Source organism: Homo sapiens, chromosome 2 (assembly GCF_000001405.40).
Source record: "Homo sapiens chromosome 2, GRCh38.p14 Primary Assembly".
Taxonomy (NCBI): Eukaryota; Metazoa; Chordata; class Mammalia; order Primates; family Hominidae; genus Homo; species Homo sapiens.
Window position 1 is genome coordinate 31333478 of NC_000002.12, and position 26990 is coordinate 31360467.

The 26990-nt window shown below is 42.0% G+C and overlaps 1 protein-coding gene across 3 annotated transcripts in view; it reads right to left on the reverse strand.

Annotated features, from left to right (window-relative positions):
• XDH (xanthine dehydrogenase) overlaps positions 844–26990 on the reverse strand; it is an 80422-nt gene continuing 54275 nt past the window's right edge. For 2 of the 3 annotated variants that reach the window (XM_011533095.3, NM_000379.4), the window contains exons 25-36: positions 16555–16746; positions 16209–16354; positions 15422–15503; positions 14791–14886; positions 14045–14173; positions 13292–13366; positions 11207–11259; positions 8706–8820; positions 7852–7917; positions 6012–6200; positions 4164–4340; positions 844–2531 (exon numbers count right to left, since the gene is read on the reverse strand). In XM_011533095.3, coding sequence (XP_011531397.1) covers positions 2481–2531; positions 4164–4340; positions 6012–6200; positions 7852–7917; positions 8706–8820; positions 11207–11259; positions 13292–13366; positions 14045–14173; positions 14791–14886; positions 15422–15503; positions 16209–16354; positions 16555–16746 — 1371 coding nt within the window. In that variant the 3' untranslated portion in view covers positions 844–2480. Of the gene's footprint in view, positions 2532–4163; positions 4341–6011; positions 6201–7851; positions 7918–8705; positions 8821–11206; positions 11260–13291; positions 13367–14044; positions 14174–14195; positions 14607–14790; positions 14887–15421; positions 15504–16208; positions 16355–16554; positions 16747–26990 lie in introns of those variants that run through there. The other variant, XM_011533096.3, reaches the window with a different exon arrangement.

The window sequence follows — 26990 nt, forward strand, 5'->3', positions numbered from 1 at the left end:
GTCACCTGGCAAGTTGCAGATACTCTGAAAATAAGAATTGCCTTCCCCTTGCTAGCCATTCATCTGGAGCTCAGACTCCCACGGCTGACCCATGTCTTTGGAGAGCTCCTTTGAGACTTTTGTCATTCTAAAACCCTAAGTCAGCTTTGAATTCAGCTCTTGGGGAAGCCTCCGAGGACATCTGGTCTATGCAGAGATCCTACCTAAATCAGTACCTAATGGTTAACAAATGCGATGCTGCTGGGCCACCTGGACAATATTGCCCCTTGTTCAATCTTCTACTGCCCTCTGCAGGTTCCAGGCGATACCGCAGGCAGTGTTGACTGCATTCCTTGTGCAACACCAAAAAAGACCAAGACATCTCACTGTATAGACTGGAAGCACTTTAAGACAACAGGGCAAGGCAAGGTGTCTCAGACGGACGATGCCTCTGAATAGCACAGTGATTTCTAGTTCACAAAGCACTTTCTTGTTGGATTTTCATGACCACTCTACTCTCACCTTGGTACCTAAGCACACAAGGGAATTCTGTGTCACTGCTTCACCCCAAGAGCTTCACTAAAAACAAGTGACAGGTCTCAGGCCCTGTCCCAGAACATCCCAGAAAATCATCTGAAATGGACCTGGATCTCAGTGTAAACACTCGTTTAGTTTTTAAAGCTCTTCTACCTTGACCATGCTGTACAACAGCCAGCATATCTAGGATACTCTGGAGAGGGATTTTTGTAAGAAAGTGTGTGTGTGTGTGTGTGTGTGTGTTTTCAAGAAATGAAGGCTGGCCAAGATACTGAAGATACTAGCATTTGGTGTGATGATAATTAATAAGCATTTTTCACACGCCAACCAGCTGACAGTTTCATTTATTAGTGACATCAAGCACCAGTCCAACTATATCATTTCCACTATCCTCCCTCCATGGCCAGAACCACAGATTCTCTCTGGCAGAAGGTTGGATTTATACAGTGAAGGCATGTGACAGTGACACATTGTCCACCCAGCACCATGTAGGGATTAAATCACCATTTGGAGCAATAAAAGGGATGTTTGTTCTTCCCTTGTTCTCTTTACCAACCGCAGAAACTTGAGGTGATCTCAGCAGAGTTCATTAGACCCAGGTATCATATGACAGTAAGAAAACCAAGCCTTAGATAGCTGCAGATCCTTTATGTAACTGGAGTTTTCAGGTCATATATTTATAGGCTTTTAAAGCAGAAGACGTGAGACAACCCTTTACTGCAACCCTTATGTTTGCAGTAAAATGGATCACAGGAAGGGGAATTGACAGTCCAAGATCACAAAGATAGAGACAGAAGAGACAGAGCTAGGATGAGAACCCAGGCTTCTTGGCTCTTCTACCTCTGGTTGGGCTTGATTTTGATAGCAGCATTTTTATTTCTTTTTTTTTCTTCAGAGACAAGATCTTGCTCAGTCGCTCAGGCAGGAGTGCAGTGGCGCAATCATAGCTCACTGCAGCCTCAACCTCCTGAGCTCAAATGATCTCTCCACCTCAGCCTTTCAAGTAGTTGGGACTACAGGCATGCACTATCAAGACCAACTAATTAAAAAAATTTTTTTTAAAGACAGGAGCTCTCTATGTTGCCCAGGCTGGTCTCAAACTGCTGGGCTCAAGCAATTCTCCTGCCTTAGCCTCCCAAAGTGCTGGGATTATAGGGGTGAGCCACCATGCCAGGACTGATAGCATCATTTCTAGGTGGAAATTACTTTGGCTTCAAATGTAAAGATTAAACATAATCTTTTTTGTAAATACTCAAAGAGTATTTGGAATACAAATATTCTCTTCAAAGAGGAAGGGAAAGAAATCTAGAACATTGTACGTGCTCAATAATTGAGTTGGTTGGATTTTTGTATTATAGAGTAATCTTGCTTTATGCAGCTTCACAAAATCAGATCCAATTAACCTTGAATTTGTTTCATTCTTTATTCTTTCCAATGATTCAAAGATGGTTAGAGGATTTAACCTTACCCCACTGCCTCATTGCAAAATTTGAGTATAGATTCAAGGTTATGCTTTGCTGTTCATTGGTTTGAAGGCCAGGCTTTCACAGGAAGGCACACGATTTAAAGTAACTTCGGTTTAAGCTTCTAGAGGTTTGTGGGAATCCTCTTCAAAGGACAGACACCATCAGAACTTGAGGTTATACAGGCTGTCCAGTAAGTGGGGAATAGCACAAACCCTTCCCGACCCTATTCCAGATACATGATTAAAACAGACAGAAAATGATCCTAATTGCATATTCACCATTTAGGCATAACAGTTTTGAATTTGCTTATCATTGTGTTTACAAATTACATTTTTGATCAAAATCTTCCATTGCATTCACTTGTCTTCCAAATCCCATCTTGACAAATCACAGGTCTGTCATTCTGTGACTTTAATAGATCCATGTTCTGTGGTATGTTCCTCCTGCTCCATGGAAGCCCAAAGGCAGCACAAGAAGACTCTGCTGAGGACTCTCTCTTTAGACCCTCACAGACCAGGGTTTGCAGTTTTCTGGGACACCAGTGACACACTAGGAAGGAATGATAGTGTTCTCATTGCCAGGGTCTGCTGATCATGCTCCTCCCACTCTCTTGCATACCTCACCTCCCACCACTGCCAACCATCATTCCAAGGCCAAGCACCACTCTGCAGGCCTAGCTGTTGAGAATGCCTCAGGGCAGGACTCCTTAATTTCCTAAGCCATTCATTTATTTTCACTGAGCACTTTCCACATGGCAGGCGTTCTATTAGGTTTTGGAGATATGGTGACAAACAATACAGATGTGATCCCTTTTGAAACTCACAGTCCTTAAAAAGTTCATAGAATCAGCTGCTCATGCAAATCCATGGCAAGAATTTTTAAATCGCTGGTATGTTGTAACATAGAAACGGATCTTTGTTTCAGGTCTGGGGCCACAGAGAGCTTACGAAAATGACTGAGTTCTGCATCAGACTGTTGGCAAAGAGCTCGCCTTGCAAACTGTGGCAGCTTATTGGGAGCCATGCCACCCACTCCTCTCAGGGAAATGGGTTTGGGTGATTGTCAGCATTGGGAGCCATAGTGGGAAGGTTCTGGGCTGTGGGTAGGTTGCTGCACAGATGTGGGCATCTTTACTGCCTGGGAGTGCCACACGGTCTGTGTAGTTCTCACTCCATAGCTAAAGCTCTTGGTAGACCCAAGGAAGACCTGAATGGGGACCCATATGCCTCCTTCACCCACTGTGTTGAGGTCTGCGGATGGTGGATTTGTCTGCCCCTGGGGTTCCTCTGTGCCCTCCCCACTTGGGACCACATGTACCCACTTTACCTATAAATCCAAAAAGCATATCGAATTTTAAAAAGAGAAAGCCCCACCTGAGTATCAGGAAGAACCCAGTCCTGCTAACTCCACACAGGTTGCAGTTGCAAAGGCAATTAAAGCCACTGTACAGAGCCCACTTCAGCACCACTCAGAGGCTGGGCTGGTTCTGAGATCCCCAAAGCGGAAGCAACCGTCCTAGCAAAGTCTTCTTTTGTTAGGCATTGCCAACTACAAGTATCACATAGGTGCTTCTTAAAGTGATTCCAATGACTACGGAATTCTTCTACTACTTTCTGCCACATACACCTCCAAGGCAGTAATCAATCACCCTATAATGGAATCATCTGGTTTCCCAAGGTTGCAAAGTCCTCAAGGACATCTATGTGTCCCCAGTATCAGAATGGCACATGATCATCACAGGACAAATGTGGTTGATCTAATTAATTATTTCCTCTTTTTCCCTCCATCCCCCCAATATTCATACAGTGTCCTTAACATAAATTAAAAAAAAAAATGCTAGCGACTGACTCATACTAAAGATTAGGCTCTCTGGAGTTTCATCCATCATCCTTATCTAGATGGAAAATAATAAAATCTGTGAGTTATGACTGTGCACCACACATTCCTCCCATCTCTAAGGAGGCCCAGCTACAAGCTATAGCTTTAAGGAGGTTTCTCATTATTCTCTTGCAAGTTCGAGTGTGTGCTTCATACCATGCACAATGAAGGGTGGCCATTGATGCAAGGCTGCCCGGTTAGGAGAGAGCCCAACACCTCTCCTCTGTGCAGAACCTTCCCTGCAGTTTGCCAGCCTATCCCTGGCCTCCCCTGGACTGAGTGGATGCTTGAGGGGCATCATACCAGGGTGGTGAACTTGTCCACGCAGGCATTGCGGATCTTCTCCGGGGTGGCAGGGCTGTCTAGCCGGAAGAGTTCCTTCACGTTATTACCTGTGTGCTGAGCTCGAGCTGCACGGATGGCATCTTTGATGGCAAAGAAGATAGAAGCAGCCAGGAAGAGGGGCGGCTCTCCAACAGCCTGAACACAGACAGGGCACAGGGCAGGGGCTCAGGCAGGTGGTCCTGCCTCCACATCATCAAGTGGACCTAGGAGGCCAGGCAGCAAACTCTGCACGAGGAGGGCTGGTGGCACCAGGAAAGCACTGATGGGAGCCACACCAAATACAGCAGGAAGGCACAGTCAGAAATGATCAGGGGCTAAGAACAATCAAGCTAGTACATGACTGGACCGCATGGACATATTTCTTTGAACACTCATGTAATTTTCTCTGATGACATCATGCACATATAATGTACCATTTAAAGTTATACTCGGTAATTGTATTTTACAGACCACAAAATCTGACGTGAGTTTTAACCTTTTCCTCAGTCACTAGCCGAGGGGAAGAGTCTACCTGCAACTCTGACACCAACATTTACAGGCACCATAGTCATATTACAGCATCCGCAGGAATTATAGGCATAAGAACAAACAGGAATTAAAACATTTTCTAGCATAGGTTGGTTTTTCTCCCCCTCAAAGTATAGATCAGAGACCACCTATATCAGAATCACTAAAGATACTTGCTGAAAATGCATGTTCCAGGGCCCTAAGCCACACCTATTGGAGCAAAATTTCTAGGCGTGGGCCCCAGAAAGGCACATTTTTATCATGGGCCTCAGTAATTCCCAAGCATGGTAAAGTATGACAGTCAATGGCAAGGGTCACAATATGTCCCAGCTTCCCCACCCACTATGGTAAAGTAAACCACGAGATGAGCAAATGGATGTTTCTTTGGTTACCAAGGATTAGTTGCCTTCCTTCTTCAAACTAGGATTATATGCATCAGCTAAATCAATTTTCAACCATTTTTTCATACTTACTGCAGATAAGGAAGAAATAGAAGACACAATCCTCCAGGCATCTGACCAAGTCTTTTTTTTTTTTTTTTTTTTTTTTTTTGAGACAGAGTCTCGCTCTGTCGCCCAGGCTGGGGTGCAATGGTCCAGTCACGGCTCACTGCAGCCTCTGCCTCCCAGGTTCAAAAGATTCTCGTGCCTAAGCCTCCTGAGTAGCTGGGATTACAGGCATGTCCCACCATGCCCAGCTAATTTTTTTTATTTTTAGTAGAGATGGGGTTTTGCCATGTTGCCCAGGCTGGTCTCGAACTTCTGAGCTCAGGCAATCCACCCACCTAGGCCTCCCAAAGTGCTAGGATTACAGGCATGAGCCACCGCACCCAGCCTGATCAAGTCTTAAGGTCGAGTATTGGCAACTGAAGGAGGTAAAAGGGTGTGTACAAAGGTGCTATCCCATTGGCAGTGAATGTGCTGATTGTCATTGGACCATACTAATGCTGTACCTGTAAAATCATCTCTTAGGATCAAGCACCAGTGACGTACGCCTGAGATATGGGTGTGGGCCAGGATTTAAATGAGAAGATTTGATGAAGGAATCCCTCTAAATTCACCCAAAGAAGTGGGCTTCAGACCATACTAAGGTGCTCTCCTCAACCCAATTTAACTGGTTCTCAAGCAGGACTGCCCAACTATCCCACTGCCCCTACCAAGGTCAGTGTCAAACCATCTTCCCTCCTCAAGATATGCCCTTTGAAGTCCCACCAGGTGGGTCACTGAGGCCTCTCATCACCCGCTGGGGCCTCCCCCAGGGCAGATCAGAAGAGACAGCACAGAGCCAGAGCAATGGTACCTTCGATGCATAGATGGCCTTCTTGTTGGGGCAGTCGCGGAGCAGGGACACCCTGAACTCAATGGGGATGCTGCCAAATGCCGGGATCTTGTAGGTGCTAGGGCCACGGGTGTGCAGGCTCCCCTCGGGGGAATAGTGTAGCTCCTCTAGGGTGAAGAGGCCAAGGCCCTGGACAAATGCCCCTTCCACCTGCAGGATGGATGGAGAGCACAGTTAGCCTGCCACCTTCTTCCCTGAGGACAGATACCACTTGCCACAATGGACACAAAGCGCCAACTGCAGCGCGGCCTGGAATGTAGCTAAAACTGCCCTCTATTGCTTACCTGGCTCCCGCCTCAGCCCTGGGATAACCCATCCGGACTTCTGCCAGGCTTTGGCTCAGGCAGAGCAAAGACATTAACACGGAAGGTCAGTGATTCTAGGTGGGCATGTTTCCCACTACAACCTGCCGCAGTGCAGATGGAGATGTTCCTTCCATGTTGCTACTGGGGAAATGGTGAGCCAAAGCTAAGAAGCAAGCTCACAGGAGGATTTATTCGATAGTAGATTCTTTGAGACTTACCTCCAGCCTTTTTGAACGCCCACCCCTGCCTGTCCTCTGGGAGAAAGTGCCCCCACTGCAGTTCAGCTTACAGGTCTCTCCTAGGGTAACTGCCATGATAGACAGGCCCACACATCTGCTCTCTCAGCCCCCTGCTCAGAAGCGTGACATGGGGCACTACCATACCTCAACGAGCATTCAGAAAAGAAACCGACTGGCAATCATCTTTGGGTCTGCAGTACTGGCTTGGTGCCTGGCCACAGTAGGGGACCATAAATGGTTGTTCAATGAATTAATGAACAGATTGACTAATGGCCAGATTTTCGTATACTCAGTAGTTGTCCATTTTTTAGAAGTACAATTTGTATTTTCTACCAGATGCTCAGTCTTGAATTCTTGATTCCTCCTCTGTTTTTTCCTATCTCACCTATTCTTTATTTTATTTTATTTATTTTTTTGAGACTGAGTCTTGCTCTATCGCCCAGGCTGGAGTACAGTGGTGGGATCTTGGCTCCCTGCAAACTCCACCTCCCAGGTTCAAGCAATTCTCCTACCTCAGCCTCCTGAGTAGCTGGGATTACAGGTGCATGCCACCACACCCAGCTAATTTTTGTATTTTTAATAGAGACGGAGTTTCGCCATGTTGTCCAAGCTGGTCTCGAACTCCTGATCTCAGGTGATCTGCCTGCCTCGGCCTCCCAGAGTGCTGGGATTACAGGTGTGAGCCACAGGTCCCAGCCCTATTTCACCTATTCTTCATAGTAATCCCATATTCTCCTAAAGCGATTTTCTCTGGGACCTCCCTTTACTACTTCTGCTTAAGCCTTTGTGTTTTGCTCCCAGGGCCTTCCACCACTCCATGTTTGGCAGCATCTGCTTCCTGGGGTACAAAAGCTGTCCTAGGTGGAGGAGGAATGAGAAGACAGAAAACTCTTCTGACCTCAGACCCCACTGTCTGGGCATTGATCCCAAACTCAATCCCCATTCTACGTTGTGCTCACACTCAAATTGGGTGTGTGTGCATGTTCACATGTGCATGCCATGTTTCCTCATTTCTCATCTTGTTTTTGAGTTGTGAGTGCCCTTCCCAAGTTGACCCATATTAATTTGCTTTCTGCCTTGAGGGTTGGTTGGACTATCACCAATCTAAATTCTACTTTGGGGGAAACTCCCTAGGTTCCATGTTTCAGCCTGTTTGAAGACAACCTTGGACAACATGTTGTGGCAGGTGGCCCCAGGAGGGGAATGGGGTGCATCGGTGGCCAAGTCTGTCACCACCCTGGTCCCACTGAGCCTCACCTGTCCAATATCAATGGCAGGGTTTAGACTGGAGCCAACATCCATGACAATATCTGTGCGGAGGTTCTAGAGTAGACAGCAAAATTACAAGAAGTTAGAGGAGGAAAAGATGTTTGGAATATGACAGATGACTCATAGTGACCCTCAGACTACAAGTGCCAACCAAAGAGTACGTTCCCAAGCAGAAAGCCCTGGGTGTGCTCAGGCAGAAGTGTTGATGTTCCCACCAAATCTCTGCTGCCACCATCCCCGCTGGAGTCTGAGTTTGTAGCAGCCGGGTAGGAAGTGGGGAGCAGCAATGATCTCTCAGTAACTGGGAATAACACACATTCATACGTGAGTAGTCAGATAGGGTCCCAGAAACCTGGGGCTTTGAATCTGAGTCTGGGTAGATCATGTACAAAAGAGTCAATATACTACGTTCCATGGGCTAAATCCAACTTGCCCCTGTTTTCGTGGGGCCTGTAGGCTAATAATTACATTATTAAATAACTGGAAAAATAAAAAGAAGAATATTTTGTGACAAGTAAAAATTGTATGAGATTCAATTCAAATTCAAATTTCAGTGTCTATAAATCATATTTTATTGGAACAGAGTCACACTTATCTGTTTACAAGCTGTCTATGACTGCTGTCACACTTCAATGGTAGAGTTCAGTAGCTGAGGCAGAGACTGTATGGCCCACGAAGTCTAAAACACTTACTCTGTGGCCCTTTATAGGATGTTTGCCTATCCTTAATGGAAGGCATTATTTTTCCAACCAGAAATCTTGTCTCTATCAGCTCTAGGTATTACAACTCAGTTGTTTCTCTTCTCTTTCCCACTAAGTACTAAAGTTTTGCAAACTTCTTACCTTATGATCTCCTGTTAGGCAGTCGATTTCTACTTCAGAGCAAGCCACCCCATAGCTGAAGTAGTGGAAGGGGTTCCCTGAGTTAGTCTCAAAGCTGTAGCCCAGATTGGGTGTTCTGGGAGAGGAAAGAGAAGGTACTGCACATGTATTAACATGAACACACCCCCTTCCCTATGCACGTACAGCTTGACCCACAACATCTTTAAACCCCACAAGTTTTTGCATTCAGCTGTTCTCCAAAAAAGTCCATGGTTTGAACAATTTGAACCTGTTAACGAAACCCAGATATTCCAGAACATTTTGTCTCTGGGCCCTCCTCTATTTTGCCAGTAGCCCTTCTGTACTCATTCTGTACAGCCTAGCAGTGTTTAGTACCATGCTAGCCTCTGCACAGTAGAAAGAGAGGTAACAGATCCATCTGGGCTCACGAAGGACATGAAAGTCACACTCCAAAGGATGTACTGAATTAGAATCCAAGGTCTTCAGGACTGAAGGTTCTGCCTGTGGTGGCTCTTAGACTGTTCACACAGTTCTCCTGCTTACCTTCTCAAGGTGAGAAAGTTAATAAGATCAGCATCTCATGCTAACCTGGGTGCATCTTTAAGCGGCCACTCCCCACCTGCTGGTCCCTTTGAAAGTTCAACAAATGATTTGAGGGAAATGATACGAATAGAAACAAATGCTCCCTTATACATTTTTAAAATTTTCAATCTGGAGTACCTTATACAATTCCACTTTTGCCTGAGTCATATAAATATATGTGTATATCTATGCATTTGTGCATGTGTATTCACACACCTAGAGTTTACAGTACACTGACTCTGTGTTATTCTATACACTACACAGGAATAACATGAGCTGATATGACCAGATCTGCACAAAAACAAAACCAATATGGGGCTGAGGGAAAAGGCTTCTCCCAGAAAAAACCACCACCAATTCCTTTGACCTCTGCTTTCACCATGCTCCTCTGCTTTGACCTTTATAAAACCTTAGTTTCATGAACTCCAGAAATGTAATAGGAATTTATGAGAAAATGTGTTTATGTATGTGTAGGTCAGATATTAAAAACCTAGAAAGCATTGGCAAAACATTTCTTCACCATATATATATATATATATATATATATATATATATATATATATGCATGTTTATACATATATATGCCTTATACATATATATTCAATGTAATATCTATACATATATATGAGCCACATATATGTTCATATATGGCATAGAAATGTTTTTTTGTGTATATATGTTTATACATATATGCCTTATACATATATGTATAATACATATATATGCCTTATATACTTATATATATGTATATAAAGCATACATATATGTATAAGGCATATATATATGCCTTATATAAGGCATATATATATTCAGTGTAATATCTATACATATATTAGCCATATGTATGTTCATATATATGGCATAGAAATGTTTTGTGTGTGTACATATGTTTATACAGATATATGTCTTATACATATATGTATAAGGCATATATATTCAGTGTAATATCTATACATATATATTAGCCATATATATGTTCATATATAGGGCATATAAATGTTTTTTGTGTGTATATATGTTTATGCCTTATATGTATAAACATATATATGCCTAACATATATATGTTCATATATATATTCATATACATACGGAAAATAAATGTTTCATACAAAGAAATGTTTATACATATATATATTTATGCATCTATATATTCATACATTCAGACATGATATTTTAAAGAAACATTGAATTATTTTCCAAATATATTGAAAGAAAATATTCCAAATATCTGTGAAAGAAAAGGTCCTAGCTAAACTTCCCAGAGACGGCTAAAATATGATGACTGACAGTAAATATGATCATATCTTTTTACAGCTGCTAAGTCAGATGGGCAGGGTCTCTAGCTATTCACGCTGCTACTAAATTTAAAGTTGCAGAAGTCATACGCTCTCTTGAAAATCTCCCTGTATTAATAAGTTTCCACTGTATTCTGCATTTTGTAATAAGACCACGTGCTCTAAATCCTCCTCTCATTCTATAAAAAAGTCCCACACACAGTACAAAGAAGGATGCATAGCTAACAGCAATGCCTAACTCATAACACTACACAGCCTGGTTTCTGCAGGAGAACACTGAGGGAGGAATGGTTAGGTACTGGCCCCAATACGTCACCCATGAGGAAACAGGGGAACAGGTTCAGCAGGACCACTGACTTCCTCTGGTGAAATTGTGCACCCTGAGACCAGAACTAGAAGTCGGGTCTTCTGACACACAGCTGGTGCTTTTACCCCTTGGCACACAGTGTGGCCATTCCACATATTTTAGAGCATCTTTAGACTGAAATTAGCGGAAGTCTGTTGAAGAGATAAGTGGAGCTGCTCTCTCCTGACCACAGCCTGGCAGGATTCGGTGCTGGAGTGGACCAGTGAGGTTAGGACGACATCACACTATGAGCTGGGCAAGGACAACACCATACTTACCTATAAAACCCAGTGGCAGACAAGCTCACTGTGTCCATGTAGGCAGCTGTGACCTGAGGAGAGGAGATGGCCATCAGGCAGGTGAAGTGAGGTTTTCAGGAACCCTGACCTGCCACTAAGCTTTCAGGAGCTCACCTCCTCTGGAAGCCAATCAACTCATTTTACTAGTGACTCCCATTTCCATACCTTACCTTACATTGTCACTGGCACCACCTGCACCAGGTCCTCATTATCTGAAGCCTGGAACACTGTAGTCACCTCTTAACTGGTCTTCCTCCCTTGAGTTGTCTCCCCAGCCCAGCCAGAGTGGCCATCTTAACATACCACACTGTGCATGTCACTACCCTACTCTAGAGCTTTCCACGGCTCCTTATTGCCTGTAGAGCAAATGCCTGATGTTAAGGACCACAGTCTCTCTGGCATTTTGCAGCACACGAGGGCCACCCCAGCCACACTCAAGAGCTAAATCTCTCTCAATTCTTCCATCTCCCACACCTCTGCACCTTTATTTATGTGGTTCCTCTTCTATATATGTGCAAATCCTTTTCTTCCCTCAACAACTACTCAAACTTGCCCTCCATTCTCCCCTCCTTGGTGAACTCTCCCTAACTGGCCATTATAAAAGCAACACGCTATAGCGCTCATGTGGTACTTCACATGTTCACCTTGTGCTTTTACATATGCTTTCCTGTTGATCAAACTATCCCTCCATCCTATCCCTTGGACTATATAATGTGCTTTTTTGGTATCCCCAAACACTAGCACAGACTCAGATTTAAGTTGTACTTGATATAATTTATGCCTTCTTCATTAGCAGCCACCAAACGATTTACTGTGTCACACGCGCTATTTAGCACTTTGCATACATTATCTTACTTATACTCACAACCCCAGAAAACCTATACTATTATTAGCCTCATTTTACAGATGAGGAAACTAAGGCTTGGAAAGACTTGGTCCTAAAACCTGCACTAGTCATTTAACATAATGTGCGTGTGCATGTGTGTGTGTGCACGCATGCTTGTGTGCGTTTGTGTGTGCGTGCACATGCGCATGTGTATGTATGTGTTGGTGACTGTGGTTCATTTATTGGGGTTATCTGTTTCCCAGGCACACTGGTCTACATGGCTGGTGGTTGAAGACAAAGCTCAGATCCACAGGTCAGATGATAGAACATTGTTGTCGGGACTGTTGTTAAAAACATTTAAACTGCCTGATAAATCCATGCTAAAACCCAACTACCAAAATCAGGCTACTTTCATGTGCTATTGGTACACGTGGTATGGAGAGGTCATAGAAGGCATAGTAAGATGAGTGGGTCTGAGAAAAATGGCATGTTTTCTTTAAATCTATTGAGGAAGATTTCTAGTGAGCCGGTTTATGTGCAGTCACATTTGATGTGTTACTCTTCTGCCCAGTTCTACCACTCCAATACTGGGGAAGGATGCAGAGCTGCCATTAATATTTCCACTTGCTGGAGGAGCCACAGCCTCCCGCCTGCAAGAGACTCCCTTGCCCCTTCCCTCTGAGATTTCTGACATTCAGGCCACTGGTCTAGAAGTCAGAGAATTGGGCTCATTCTTATCATAAGTGCTTGTTCTGTCATTCCCCAAATCACAGGAATGATAGAAGTCCTTGGGTGATGTTTTCTCCCCACGCTGTCACAGAGGGAATCTCAGTAGACTCAGACTCAAGAGATGGAGATTTGAGGAAAACCAGGCTCATCTGGGACAAGCGGGGTGTGGGAGCAGACCCACTGAGTCAAGACAATCCGATGAGGCATGTTCAGCAGGCACCCATCCTCTCAGGCTCAGGCAAAGAAAACCCTGATTCCCACAAGGCTGTCAAGATCCTGGATCAAAAACTTCCCTCAAATGACCTCCCTCAATGATGAAAGCTATAGAGAAAGGGACCCAGCCAGAATGAGCATTTATTCATCCTGTAAAATCACACAAACCACCTCAACTTCTCTCTGCTGTTCTGACTAAAATATTGTCTCCTATTACTTGTTCGGATTCGGAACGGAGGCCCTGCTGTCAATTTCCCTCTCCTTTGCAAACGTGACTTGGATCAGCTCAGACTTACCCAGTCTTCCCAGGAGCCACTGGGATTCTTCTTCTTGTAGGGTTCCAGCCTTTTCAAGATGGTCTGACAAGCCGCCTAAAGTAAACACCCCCCACACCCCAGACACATCAGTCCTCTGCATTCTGTAGCCCAGGCAAAACCCGAGGGCCCCAGCAAGGCTACCTCCAAGCAATGCTGTACCCAGGGTGCCACTCAAACAGCCTGGCCACCCACTCCAGAATGATCAAGGCCCAGGGTAGAATCGACAGGACCTGGCCAATAGGGCCACCACTAGTCCCTGCTTGGAGAGCACTTCCTGACTCAATTCTTAGGCTGACAGAGGGCGAAATGTTTGAGGGATCCCCAGAGAGGTGTCTTCTTCCCTCAAACTGCTTGTTTGATTATATCCCCCATATGGCAGAGGAGCCAGTGTGGCCAACCTGCCTCTATAATCAAATTTCAGCTTCAGCCCATTGTCCTATTGCTAGCTCCAGCACCAGGGAGTAATTCCAGAAGCCTCTGCTTTCCCTCGGTATCCTCATCTCCCCATCCTGCACTCATCCTTCCCAGCTTTGAGGGCAGTGATTATGATTCTTGGGCCTCTCTTTTAGCTTGAGGTTTGGAGAAACAGCATCCTCCTGGATAAGGGAGCCAGAGGCCTGGCCAGAGCCAAAGAGCCTGCAAGGAACCCTTCTAGCTCCCACCCAGGGAGACTCTCCAGGCCCACAGCTCTGGGCTGGCCCTCTGCTCTGCGGGATCCCATGGGCTCCTTACATAGACGGCCTGTCCATTGAGGTCAGCGCTGACAGAGGCAGCCGTGGGAGAGGTGTTGGGCACAGTGTTAGTGCTTGTCTCGCTGATATAAATCTTAGAGGTGGGGATTTTCAGAGCTCTACTGGCCACCTGCGAAAAGAGAAGACATTGCCCTCTAGGGAAGGGGTTATCATGGGGCTTGGCTGCCTTCTCCCCAAGACAGGATTCACATTCACTGTTACAGGCAAGAAAACAATTTCGTAAACTCTAATCTCATTGTCTGGGATGTCCTTACATCTGGCTGAATTTGAAGGAGCACTTGGTGGAGTTCGGTTGGATAAAAAATTCATAAACTGACAAACAGTGCCTTTTTACACTAACACTCACTTTTCAAAAGATCCAATCTGGCCAGTCTCCATGCGCCAAGCAGATGTGCTGACTCTAATCCAGCTCATTGTCCTCACTCCACTCCGAGGAGTCTTGGAATGTGGGAAACTCGCGACCTTTACACACAGAGCATGCCCGCCTCACACACTGAGAATGTTGGTAATAGCAATGTCCTCAGAGGTCACCTGGCCAACTCCTTTGCACAGATGAGGAAACTGAGTTCAAGTGGGGGAAAAGACTTGCCCGAGGCTACACGGACATAAGCAACAGGGCCAGGGCCAGACCCCGGGCCTGCTTCTGCTCTGATAGGTCCCACTGCTCAATTTCTTATACCACTTCCTCTAACAACGGACACAACACTGCCAGAGAGGGCTGCTCACCTGGACCATTTTGGTATGAAGGCCTTGGCCCATCTCAGTCCCCCCGTGGGTCAGCAGCACAGAGCCATCTGTGTACACATGAAGTAGGGCTCCTGCCTAGGGAAAGAGAAGGATGCCAGACACAAAATTCAGTAAAATCCAACTCATTAAGGTTTGGGACCAAAGGTATGGAGCCCAGGAACAAGAGAACCAGCAGCATTTTGGATGTAAACCTCAGACAAAAATTATGGCAGTATGAATCTCATGATTTAATTATATAGCACTTCAGTAGTTTGCAGAAGGTTTTCATATGTTTCTCTCTGTTTCTCTTGTTCTCAAAGGGAAATAGGTCAAATATCTGTCCTCACTCTGTAAGTGAAGAAACAGAACAAGAAAAATAGAGTAGCTCTCTCCAGTCCGATAGTTAAGGAAAGGTAAGAACTAGAGGTTGATCCCAGATCTCTGAGTCTCACTGCCCATGACCTACTGGACAAATAGGACTGTGCAAGTTCGACTTTCATTTAAAGAGCAAAGAGTTCCTCCAGTAAGCCCTGTTACCAGTGACAACGAAATTTCCCTTGCAATACTGTAAACAACAGGGAAATGGGGTCCCAGTCCAGCGGAGATGGACACAATTCTATAAAGCAATTACCTGATTCAGAAAAGGAACTGTAAAGCTTATTCCAAACTTGGTGGGAATTATGCACAATCCTCTCTTTTTCCAACAATTCTCCCTAGAGAAAAAGGAATATTCTTATAGAACCTTCGCTATCATATTGAGGACATGAATATCTTTGGATGTTCACATCAAAACAGGACATCCTTGGGGTTGCCCACAAAGATGAGAACAGTCAGCTGGTGCACAGCCCACACCAGGGGGTCTTGTCAACACTCTTCTTCCCTGAGTGCAACCCGTACTGGGTCAGAGTGCCCTGGTAATCTTGGGCTGTCATCATCTCCAGGAGGCACTGTGCCTCACTGACAATAATAAAGCCTTCTCTGTGCTTTATATTTAATTATCTGAGTAACTCTGTGAGGAAGACAGAGCCAGCCCAATTATGCCCACTTTTCACATGATGAAACTGAGGCCCAGGGACTCCCAAATTCATATTTATAGATCAGTGTCAGAGGCAGGTGCATAACTGTGACGTGTTAGTCCTAGGCCAGTGTTCTTTATCATACGGTGTGCCCAAAGGTTTACAAACGCGTAAAGATGAACCACAACTGACAGGCTATGACACCGATTGCAGGCTGTGAGCCCACCTGCCCCGGGCTGAAGATCATTATAAGATCTTAAAGAGATGGCTGTGAATGAGTTGGCAAACTCAGCAGTCTCATAAGTTATCCATTGAATTATTAGCTTCCTATATGGGGTCAGCAGAAAGGCTGTAGGATATGAAACCCAGAAGAGCAACTGGACTTCTACTCCTAGTGCTTACTTGTTGAACTTGTCAACCTCACTCTTCCGAGCATGATACTGAGAGCTTGCTAGGCATTCTTCCCAGCATCTGGGCAAGGTGAAACCCTCAAGCTTCTGGTTGAAGTGTGTCAGGTCCCCTTCTTTGTACAGGTTTTTTCTCCGCACCTTCCCAAGGAGAGAGACACAGAGGCCTTGTTGGCGGCAAGAGACTGTGGGGGCAGGGCACAACCTAAAGTTAAGCTTCCAACCCCCTCAGCAGCCCCTGCCTGTCATCTGCCCCCATGGGAGATGCCCAAGATACAAAGCCGCTGTCCCCCGAAGTAGTCTAAAGCACTCTGACTTGTGCTACCAAATTCTCAGCTTACCTCCTCTGCAGGCATCCCACAGGTCACTGCAACTTCACTCATCCAGCACTCGGCAATGAGCATCCCCTGGGGCCCCCCAAAGCCCCGGAAGGCCGTGTTGGAGGGAAGGTTGGTTTTGCACAGCCGCCCAGTGCCCCGGATGTTGGGGATTTTATAGCAGTTGTCCATGTGGAATAAAGCTCGTTCCATAATCTGAAGCAGAGGAAACAAAAATGGGAGAGAACAGTGTACTGATTGCATTGGTTCCTCAAAGTAGGAACTTTGAGGGCTGTATCCATTGCCTGCCTTTCCCCTCTGCACCCAAGTTATTTCTCCCCCAGGATATTGCAGCAGCATCTTTTTTTTTTTTTTTTTTTTTTTTTTTGAGATGGAGTCTCGCTCTGTCACCAGGCTGGAGTGCAGTGGAGCGATCTTGGCTCACTGCAAACTCCTACTCCCTGGTTCAAGCAATTCTCCTGCCTCAGCCTCCTGAGTAGCTGGGATTACAGGCACGCACCACACGCCCAGCTAATTTTTGTATTTTTAGTAGAGATGGGGTTTCACCATGTTGGCCTGGAAGGTCTCGATCTCCTGACCTCGTGATCCGCCCGCCTTGGCCTCCCAAAGTGCTGGGATTACAGGCATGAGCCCAGCCTGCGGCAGCATCTTTACTGCACCTTATCCACCCACTAGTCCCCTCATTCAGCAACTCTGTGGAGAAATTCATTCCAGAGCCTCTAGTTGGAACTAATCACTTGCCTCTTTTTGAAAACAGTTAACTTTTAAAAATTCATTGTAAATTAGTTAATGAAAACTATGAAACAGCCATGAAAGTTGTACTGCAAATAGTTTGAAGTGTCCCATACTTCTGTAAGTCATGGTATGAAAAACAGTAGCCTCTTCCACTTTCCTTCCTTCTAGTCTCCAGAAGCAACTACTTACAATTCTCATAGCTTATCATCTATCAGCTATTTAGATAAACTTATACGTCTCTAGATAATGTGGCTACATTGCTATGTCTTGACTTTTTCAGTTTTAGACTTTTAGGTTGTCTTTCTTTTATGGAAAAGGAGAATTTAGTTTTGGCTTAGCCCCCTCCCTCCAGCCCTCACCCCTACCAGCTTCCTATTTCCCAGTATAGTTGTATTTTGATCAGATCAACAGTCAATTTAATATTATAACTCTGTAAACATTACTTACAGCTGAACCATGTAGTTACATTACAATTTCTTCTCTCTTGATAATATTTTTTTCACCCTGGAGTTAATAATTGTCTTTATTTTTTCATCTGCTTCATTTTGTATGTACTTATTACTAAGCCAACTTAAAGTTTTCCCCAATTCTAAAAATCTGCTCCTAATATATTTTCTCTTTTCCCTCCTGAGCTCTGCTTCCAACATGTTCAAGCACATCAGATTTTCTATCCTAGAGCCATCTGGCCTACTCCAATTTAAATTCGCTGCCCACTAGATCTGCTATTCAGCTGTTACCTAAGGATTTAAATCTTAAATCCCCCAGTGGGATCCAAAGGGGTAAAGGGATTCATCCCAGGGATTCCCTTCACCTCTCTCCATATTGAATCCCCTGTTCCTAGATTCCATGCCTTTCCCTTTTTAAATTTTACTCCCTCATTTTGTTGGAGTACATCCTTTAATATCTTCATAAGAAAGGGTACACAAAGAGGAACATCTTTGACACCTTGCATGTCTGAAATGTCTTTATTCTACTTTCACCTTTAATTAATGATTCAGCTGTATATAGAATCCTAATTTGGAAGTAGGCTTTCCAGTTTTTCTCAGCAATGTGAAGGCATTTTACTAGTACATTCTAGCTTCCTGCTATTGAGAAGTCCAATCAATGCCTTTCCAATTCTTGGAGAGTTCTGTTTTTTCTTCCTGAAAATTGTGAAATCTTCTCTTTGTCCTCAGGTTTCTAAATTTCATAACATTATAACCTGGCATAGGTCTATTTTCTTTCATTGTGCTGGTTATTATATGGGCTGTTTTAATCCCAAAGTGTATGCCCATCAGTTTTGGAAAATTTTTTGAATTATTGATAGCTTCCCCTTCTCTGTTTTTTCCATTCTTTCTTTCTGAAATGTCTATGATTTGGACCTCTTGAACTGATCCTCAAAATTTTTTTGTATTTTCTCTATTTTTTCACATTGTTTTCCATTTTTGGGAGATTTGTCAAGTTTCTTTGAACCCCTCTGCTTTCATAGTGTCAAGTCATGAGAGCTCATTTTTATTCTTTGACTGCTCCATTTTAGTAACATTCTGTTCCTTCTTTAAGTTGTAATATCTCATCTCTCTGGAAAGATCAATGGCAGCTTTCTTTTTTTGTTGTTTGTTTTATTTTGGTTTTGGTTTATTTCCCTATGGGTACTCTCTCTCTCCCACAAGTTGCTTTATGTGTCTTTGATAATTTCAGTCTTACTCATCCTAAATGATTTTTCTATGTCTCAATTAATTCTACTTTTGCTTTCCCTAGTACTTTATCAACTTGTATTTCTGTTTCTTTTATCATCTACTTCCCCTGCCATATTGTGAATTTCTTGAGGGCAGAAACAATGTCATAGCCTTCCTTATGTAGCCACCCTAGGCACTTAATATATTTGCTGGATTGAATTGAAAATCTTGTAGGATGTCTAGGGACAAAGACTGTATGTTTTTCAACGTGATTTTTTCCCATACCAGAAAGCATGTCTTATACTTGAAGAGAACAAGAAATAAGAATAATTCTTTTTTTGAACAATTTTAACCCTAGATCTGAAGTGTGAAGTTTCCTAACTGAGCCAATTAGGCAGCCCCTAGCAGAGAGGAGTGTGATCCAAAAGGGTAAAGGGGAATGTCGGCTTTTCCTGAAAACTTTAACCTTTTTTTTTTTTTTTCAAAGAGACAGGCTTTTGCCATGTTGGCCAGGCTGGTCTTGAACTCCTGACCTCAAGTGATCTGTCTATCTCGGCCTCCCAAAGTACTGGGATTATAAGCATGAGCCACCGCACCCAGCCACCTCTTTTTTTTTTTTTTTCAAACAAGAATCTATACATACGTAACTACTATGGTTACAAAATTAAGATTTAAAAAACTGTAAAAAGTGGTACCACCAAAATAAATTTGTTAATTCTCACAATTGACTTTATTTCATCCAAGCCCTCTAGTTATTTTTCTAAACAACTCAATATTCCAAGTTCATCTCCCAAAGCTGTGACCACAATAATGAGGAGTACGTAGCTCCCACTTCTGGTCTTACCCTGGTCATTTACAATGTGACTGGAGGAGCATCAACTGAGACTAAATATAAAAGCACACGATAATTACTGACACATTACTCAGGATTCTATCTTGTGAGAAACTCAACATTGAAGTATATACAGAGACTTTCACTTCCATACTTCCATTAAGTACCACTAAAAACTCTGGAATTCTATATATTTATTTAAAATCAACCACAACAACAATGTAAGAATACTCTGAAAAGTGGAGGAAAAAAAAAGGCAGTCCCAGTAGGGACTTTGCAACCCAAGGAATGACATGATGGTGAGTTCCAGGGGTTTCCTTTTTGCCTCATCTATATATCCCAGACTTGGGGCAGGAGCTGGCAATCCAGAAATGCCAATGATGACAGAGACCAAAAAGCTCACTATATATTCCAAATCCTTTTATCTCTAGCCAAAAGACCAAGAAAAGGGCAGTCTAGCAAAACTAAACACTTTTAGACAATAAGTACCCCAGCCAAACATCACAGAAAAAGAAAACGTAGTCTCATTCCTACTCACACCTGCAAAAGCTCAGTAGGAGCCCAGACTTCCACATTCATGAGGCTGTTATGAGATACCCCAACATTCCTGCTGGGATGGTGCCAGAGGAGACCAGATCGGGAGTCAAGACTTTCATTGCTGATGGCCAGTCATAAGGCTGTACCTACACCTTATGATGGAGTCACTGGAGAACACATTGACTTCCCCACCCACATAACAAAGACACACCACTCTTCCCTTCCTTTCTGGTTGTGTCAGAAAAAGTCTAGTGAAGAGTCAAGGCTTTTAGCACAAGCCAGTGGTAAAGAGGCCACCCACACCATGATGTCCATGGACAACACGTGGAATGTAGATCTCCCATCTCTGCCCAGAAGTAAGAAGGAGTTGTTCCTAACCTGGGTATCAACAAAGGCCAAGTGGAAGATCAAGATTTCTACCTCTACCTAGCAGTGATGAGGTGGCATCCACCACTGCTAGAGCAAGGTCAGAAGGAGCCAATTAAAATAGAAGGCTTAAATAGATCCAAGCTCTCAGAACATCGTCATCACCACCATCATCTGTACATTAATGACGGGTTTCTCCAAGTTTCAGTGAAAAATCACTTGTCATACCAAGTGATAGGAAGATCTCAAACTTCCTGAATAATAAAAGATAACCAAGAGATGCCATCACTGAGGTGACAAAGATGTTAAAATTATCTGACTGTAGTTTTAATGCAGCCATGAAAAAAATGCCTCTGAGATCAATTGTGAACACACTTGACAGAAATAAAAAGCTTCTGGAAATAAACAGATAGTCTCACCAAAGACATAGAAGATACAAAGAAGAACCTAATGGGCCTTTCAGAATTGAAAAGGCAACAACCAAAATAAATAGCTTATTGGGTGGATTCAACAGCAGAAGAGAAGGGACATAGAAGAGAATCAGTGAACTGAAGAATAGAATAAGATATATTATCCAGTCTGAACTATATTGAGAATATGGAATGAAAAAAAAATTACAGTTTCAAGGACATTTGGGACTATAACAAAAGACCTAACACTCATGCCATTGGAGATCTGGAAGAAAAGGAGAAAAAGAGAAGAGCATGAAAGTACTCAAAGCAATAATAACTGAAAAGTTCCCAAGGTTTCAAGATATGTAAACCTACAGATTCAAGATGCTTGGTGATCTTAAAACAGGATAAGCCTGAAGAAATCTATGGTAAGTCCTATCATAATTAAACTTCTGAAAACTAAAGACAAAGGAAAAATCTTGAAAGCACCCAGAGAATATGACAACTTACCTATAGGGGGAGCCTAATTAGAATGACAGAGGATTTCTCATCAGAAGCCATAGAGACCAGAACGAAGTGGCAGTTTTTCAGGTGCTGAAAGAAACGAACTGTTAACTCAAAACTTAATGCCCAGTAAAGTGATCCTTCAGGAACAAGGAAAAAAATCAAGACATTCTCAGATGGAAAACTAAGAAAATGTGTCCCCAGCAGACCCACAATAAAATAATGACTAAAGGAAGTTCTAAACAGAAAGAAAATGATAAAAGAAGGAAGCTTGGAAAATTAGAAGGAAGGAAAAACACTATAAGCAAAATCATGGGTACAAGCAGTAAGCTTTTCTTCTCAGTTTTTAAAATTGTCTGATAGTTGAAACAAAAATTAAAACACTGTCTTGATGTGGTTCTAAATGAATGTAAAGAAAATATTTAAAATAAAAATAATATAAATGGGAAAGGGCAGAGTCATAAAGGGAGGTAAGTTTTCTATACTTCACCAAAACTAGTAAAATGAGAACTTCAGTAGGCTGTGATAAGTTGTGTATATATAACATAATACCTTGAACAATGACTAAGAAAGCTATGTAAGAGATACTTTTAATAAAAATGGAATATTAAAAAAAATGTCCAAGTAACCCACCCACAGCAAGGCACACAAAAGAATACAGAGAAATGAAAAGCTGATAGAACAAACAGAAAACAAAAAATAAAGTGGCAGTCTTATGCCTCAACACATCAATCATTATATGATGTATAAATTGTATAAATACAGTTAAAAGAGATTAGCAGAATGGATTTACAAACATGACCCAATTACATACTGTCTTCAAGAAAATCACTTCAAATATAATAATGTAGGCAAGTTGAAAGTAAAAGGATGGAAAAAGATATAACATGCAAACATTAATCAAAAGAAAGCAAGAGTGGCTTTATTAATATGAGATAAAGTAGACTTCAGAGCAAATACAATTACCAGAGACAGAGAGAAGGAGATTACATAATGATAAAAGTGTCAATCCTCCCAAAAGACAGCAATACTAATTGTGTCTGCCCCAAATAAAAGAGCTGAAAAAGATATGAAGTAAAGACTGGTAGAACTAAAAGGAGAAATAGAAAACTCCACAATTACAGTTGGAGATTTCAATGCTCCTCTCTCAAAATTGGTAGCAAAAAATAGACAGAAAATCAGGAAGGGTATAGAAGAACTCAACACCACCATCAGGATCTAGTGGATATTTATAGCACATTATACATGTGGTAGGAAAAAGAAATGCCTCCCCAAAGATATATTCACTTTCTAATCATGGAACCTGTAAATACTACCTTATATGGCAAAATATGTGATAAAGTTAAGGATCTGGAGAGAAGTAGCTTATCCTGAACCATTGGAGTGGATCCTAAATGCAATCACATGTCTCTGTAAGAGAGAAGTATGTCTAGGTAGACAAGAATGGACACACAGGAGAAGGTGATGGGAAGACAAAGACAGAGATTGGACTGATGCAACCACAAGTCAAGGAGTGCCACCAGCCACCAGAAACTACAAAAGGTCAGGAATGGATCCTTCCCTAGAGCTTCCAGAGGATGTGCGGTCCTGCCAACACCTTGATTTCAGACTTCTGGCCTCAGAACTGTGAGAAAATAAATGTTCGTTATTTTAAGCCACCCAATTTGTGGTGATTTGTTATAACAGCCACAGAAAACTAATACACAGCCATCAACAGCAAAATACACATTCTGCTTAGGTGCCCGTGGAACTTGTATCAAAACAGACCATGTCCTGGGCCATGATATGAACCTCAACATACTTCAAAGAATTGAAATCCTATAGACTGTGTTCTTCAACTAAAACGGAATGAAACTAGAAATCAATAGAAAGCCTCAGGATACAAAGATAACTGGAATATCTATAAACACCTGAAAACCAAACAGCATGCTTCTAAATAATTAGGGATCAAAGAGAAGGTGTCAGGGAAATAAACAAGCAGACCAAAAATACAAGAAAAAAATGAAATACAACATACCAAAACTTATGGGACCTGTCTAAAGTAGTGCTGAGGGGAAACTTTACAGCACTAAATTGAATACATTAAAAAAGAGGAAAACATTCTCAGATAGTTAATTTAAGCTTTCAACTCAAGAACCTAGAAAAAGAGAAGCAAAATAAATCCAAAGCAAACAGAGTGAACGAAATAATAAGGATAAGAGCAGAAATCAGTGAAATTGAAAACAAACACAATAGAGAAAATCAATGAAACAAAAACCCGGGTCTTTAAAAAGAGCAATAAAATTGACAAACCTCTGGCAAGACAGAAAAACAAAGTGAAGCCACAAATTACCAAATCAGGATTGAAACACGGGCTATCACTACAGACCCTGAAGACATCAAAAGAGAAATAAGAACACACTATGAACGATTCTACACACATGAATTTTTTAATAACTTAGACAAAATTAAATTGAATTCATGGAGATAAAGAGTAGAATGATGTTTACCAGAGGCTGGGGAGGGTAGGGGGACAGAGGATAAAATGGGGATGGTTAATACATATAAAAATATAGTTAGAATGAGTAACATCTAGCATACAGTAGAACAATATGGTGACTATAATATTTTTAAATATATGATAATTTATCGTATATTTAAAAATAAATAAGAGTAGAATTGAAATGTTCCCTAACACAGAAAAATGATAAATTCTTGAGGTGATAGATATTGACGTTACCCTGATTTGTTTATCCTGATACACTGTATGCCTGTATCAAAACATCATATGTATCCTATAAATATATACAACTACTATGTACCAATAATAATGAAAAACAAAACATTTTTAAATGAATGTCTCAAAATACAAAACTACCACTTCAGTATGAGATAGATAATTTGAATAGTCCTAGAACTATTAAGGAAATTTAATCAATAGTGTTTTTTTGTTTGTTTCTTTTTTTTTCAAGTATTATACTTTTAAGCTCTAGGACAGATCAACGAGACAGAAAGTTAACAAGGATATCCAGGAATTGAACTCAGCTCTGCATCAAGCTGACGTAATAGACATCTACAGAACTCTTCACCCCAAATCAACGGAATGTACATTCTTCTCAGCACCACATCACACTTATTCCAAAATTGACCACATAGTTGGAAGTAAAGCACTCCTCAGCAAATGTAAAAGAACAGAAATTATAACAAACTGTCTATCAGACCACAGTGCAATTTAATCAATAGTTTTAAGGCTATCAGAAAAGAAGTCTCCAGGTCCAAACGATTTCACTGGAAAATTCTACCAAACATTTAAAGAAGAATTAACACCAATTCTACACAATCTGTTCTAGAATTAGAAGAGGAATTCTAACTCATTTTATGAAGCTAGTGTTATCCTGACACCAAACCCTGACCAAGATGGTATAATTTTAAAAGAAAAAACTACAGAGCAATATTTCTCATGAATATGGATCCAAAAATCCTTAACAAATTTTAGCAAATAAAATTTGGCAATATATTAATTATACCATGACCAAGCTGGATTCATTCCAAGGACAGTGGTTGGTTCAGTGTTTAAAAAAATCAATGAATACAATCCACAATATTAACAAGCTAAAGAAGAAAAAATCACATGATCATATCAGTCAGTGCAGAAAAAGCATTTGACAAAATTCAACACCCATTCATTATAAAGATGCTCAGAAAACACTAATGGAAGAAAACTTTCTTAATCTGATCATGAGTATCTACAAAAAACAAACAAACAAACAAAACCCTACCAATAACATATTTAATGGTGAAAGACTGGATGTCTTCCCCTTAAGAATAAAAACAAAGGAAGGATATATGACCTATAGTTCTGCAAGGTCTGGCTAGCCATCTCAGTATGTAAAGAAAAGGAGATGAAAACATGCAGATTGGAAAGGAAGAAAAAAACCATCCCTATTTGCAGATGATAATGATTGTCTGCAGAGAAAATCCCAAGGAATCTACAGAAGAAATCCTAGAACTCATAAATGAGTTCTGCAAGGTCACAGGATATAAGAAACACAAACTGAAATCACAATGAGCTATCACTTCACACCCACTAATTCTAGTGGGTAAAGACAGACAATACCAAGTGTTACTGAGGATGTGGAATCCCTAAAGATTGTTGATTGGAATATAAAATGGTGTAGTCACTCAGGAATATAATTTGATCATTTCTTTTTTAAAAAAAATCAATAGAAATTAGGTAGATCCATTTATTTTTTAAATACAAGAATAGTTTTGGAAGGGCTGTTTGACAAATTCAGCATTAACTGCCAACTCTATAGACATGTTTAACAAAACAAAACAAAAACCAAAAAAAAAAAAACAAGGCATTTACTCTTGGCCCTTTTAGTACAGGCGAAGTGTCCTATTGCATCACAAGCGCCAGTGATGCAGTAACAGGTCCAAGGGCATAATATCAAAGATGTTTTTTTCCAACTGTGATTTAGTTAAAAAATAACATAATACAAACATATATTAATGGCTATCAAGACCACCAGTGATCTGCAGAATACCTAGAGGCCTACCTACTTAGAAGGCTGAAACTAGTAAAGCAGTATTAAAATCAGTGTTTTTATTCTTAGATTCACAATGACAGAGTGAGATTTCTTTGATTCCAATTTTATAAGGTGTGGTGGGGAATTGAGAGGAGATATTGGGGAAGACTGGCAGTGTGCCCTGAGTTAGAGTTGGGAATGTGGCTCAAATTAATCAATATTCGGATTAGGATATTGTTTTAGAAAATTTTAAATGTGTCCTAAATTGTGGCATATTGAAAAGGATATTAAGGAACAATGATTCATTAGCCCTAAACACAATTTAATGAGTGCCATCAATGGGCTTAAGAAATAAGCAGGGATGGGGGATGGTGAGGCAAAATGAGGTGAAAGAGAAAATGGTAAGTGGAAAATATGCTTGAGCATTGGAGAATGTGAAAAGGCCACCAGAGAAACTCCTTTAGTTATCACTCAGATGTGCTCTTCCCATTGGCTACCTGCTCCTGATCACCCAAACACCAGTTTTAGAGCACAGGAGCAGTAACCCCCTTTATCTGCAATTTCACTTTCCGTAGTTTGTTAACCAAGGAAGCCTTGGTCCAAACATATTATGTGGAAAATTCCAGAAATAAACAATTTATGTTTTAAATCACAAGTCGGCCGGGCAAGGTGGCTCATGCCTATAATCCCAGCACTTTGGGAGGATGAGGCGGGTGGATCACCCGAGGTCAGAAGTTCGAGACCAGCCTGGCCAACCTGGTGAAACCCCGTCTCTACTAAAAATGCAAAAATTAGCTGGGCGTGGTGGGGCAGGGCACTTGTAATCCCAGCTACTTGGGAGGCTGAGGCAGGAGAATCACTTGAACCCAGGAGGCGGAGGTTGCAGTGAGCCAAGACTGCACCACTGCAC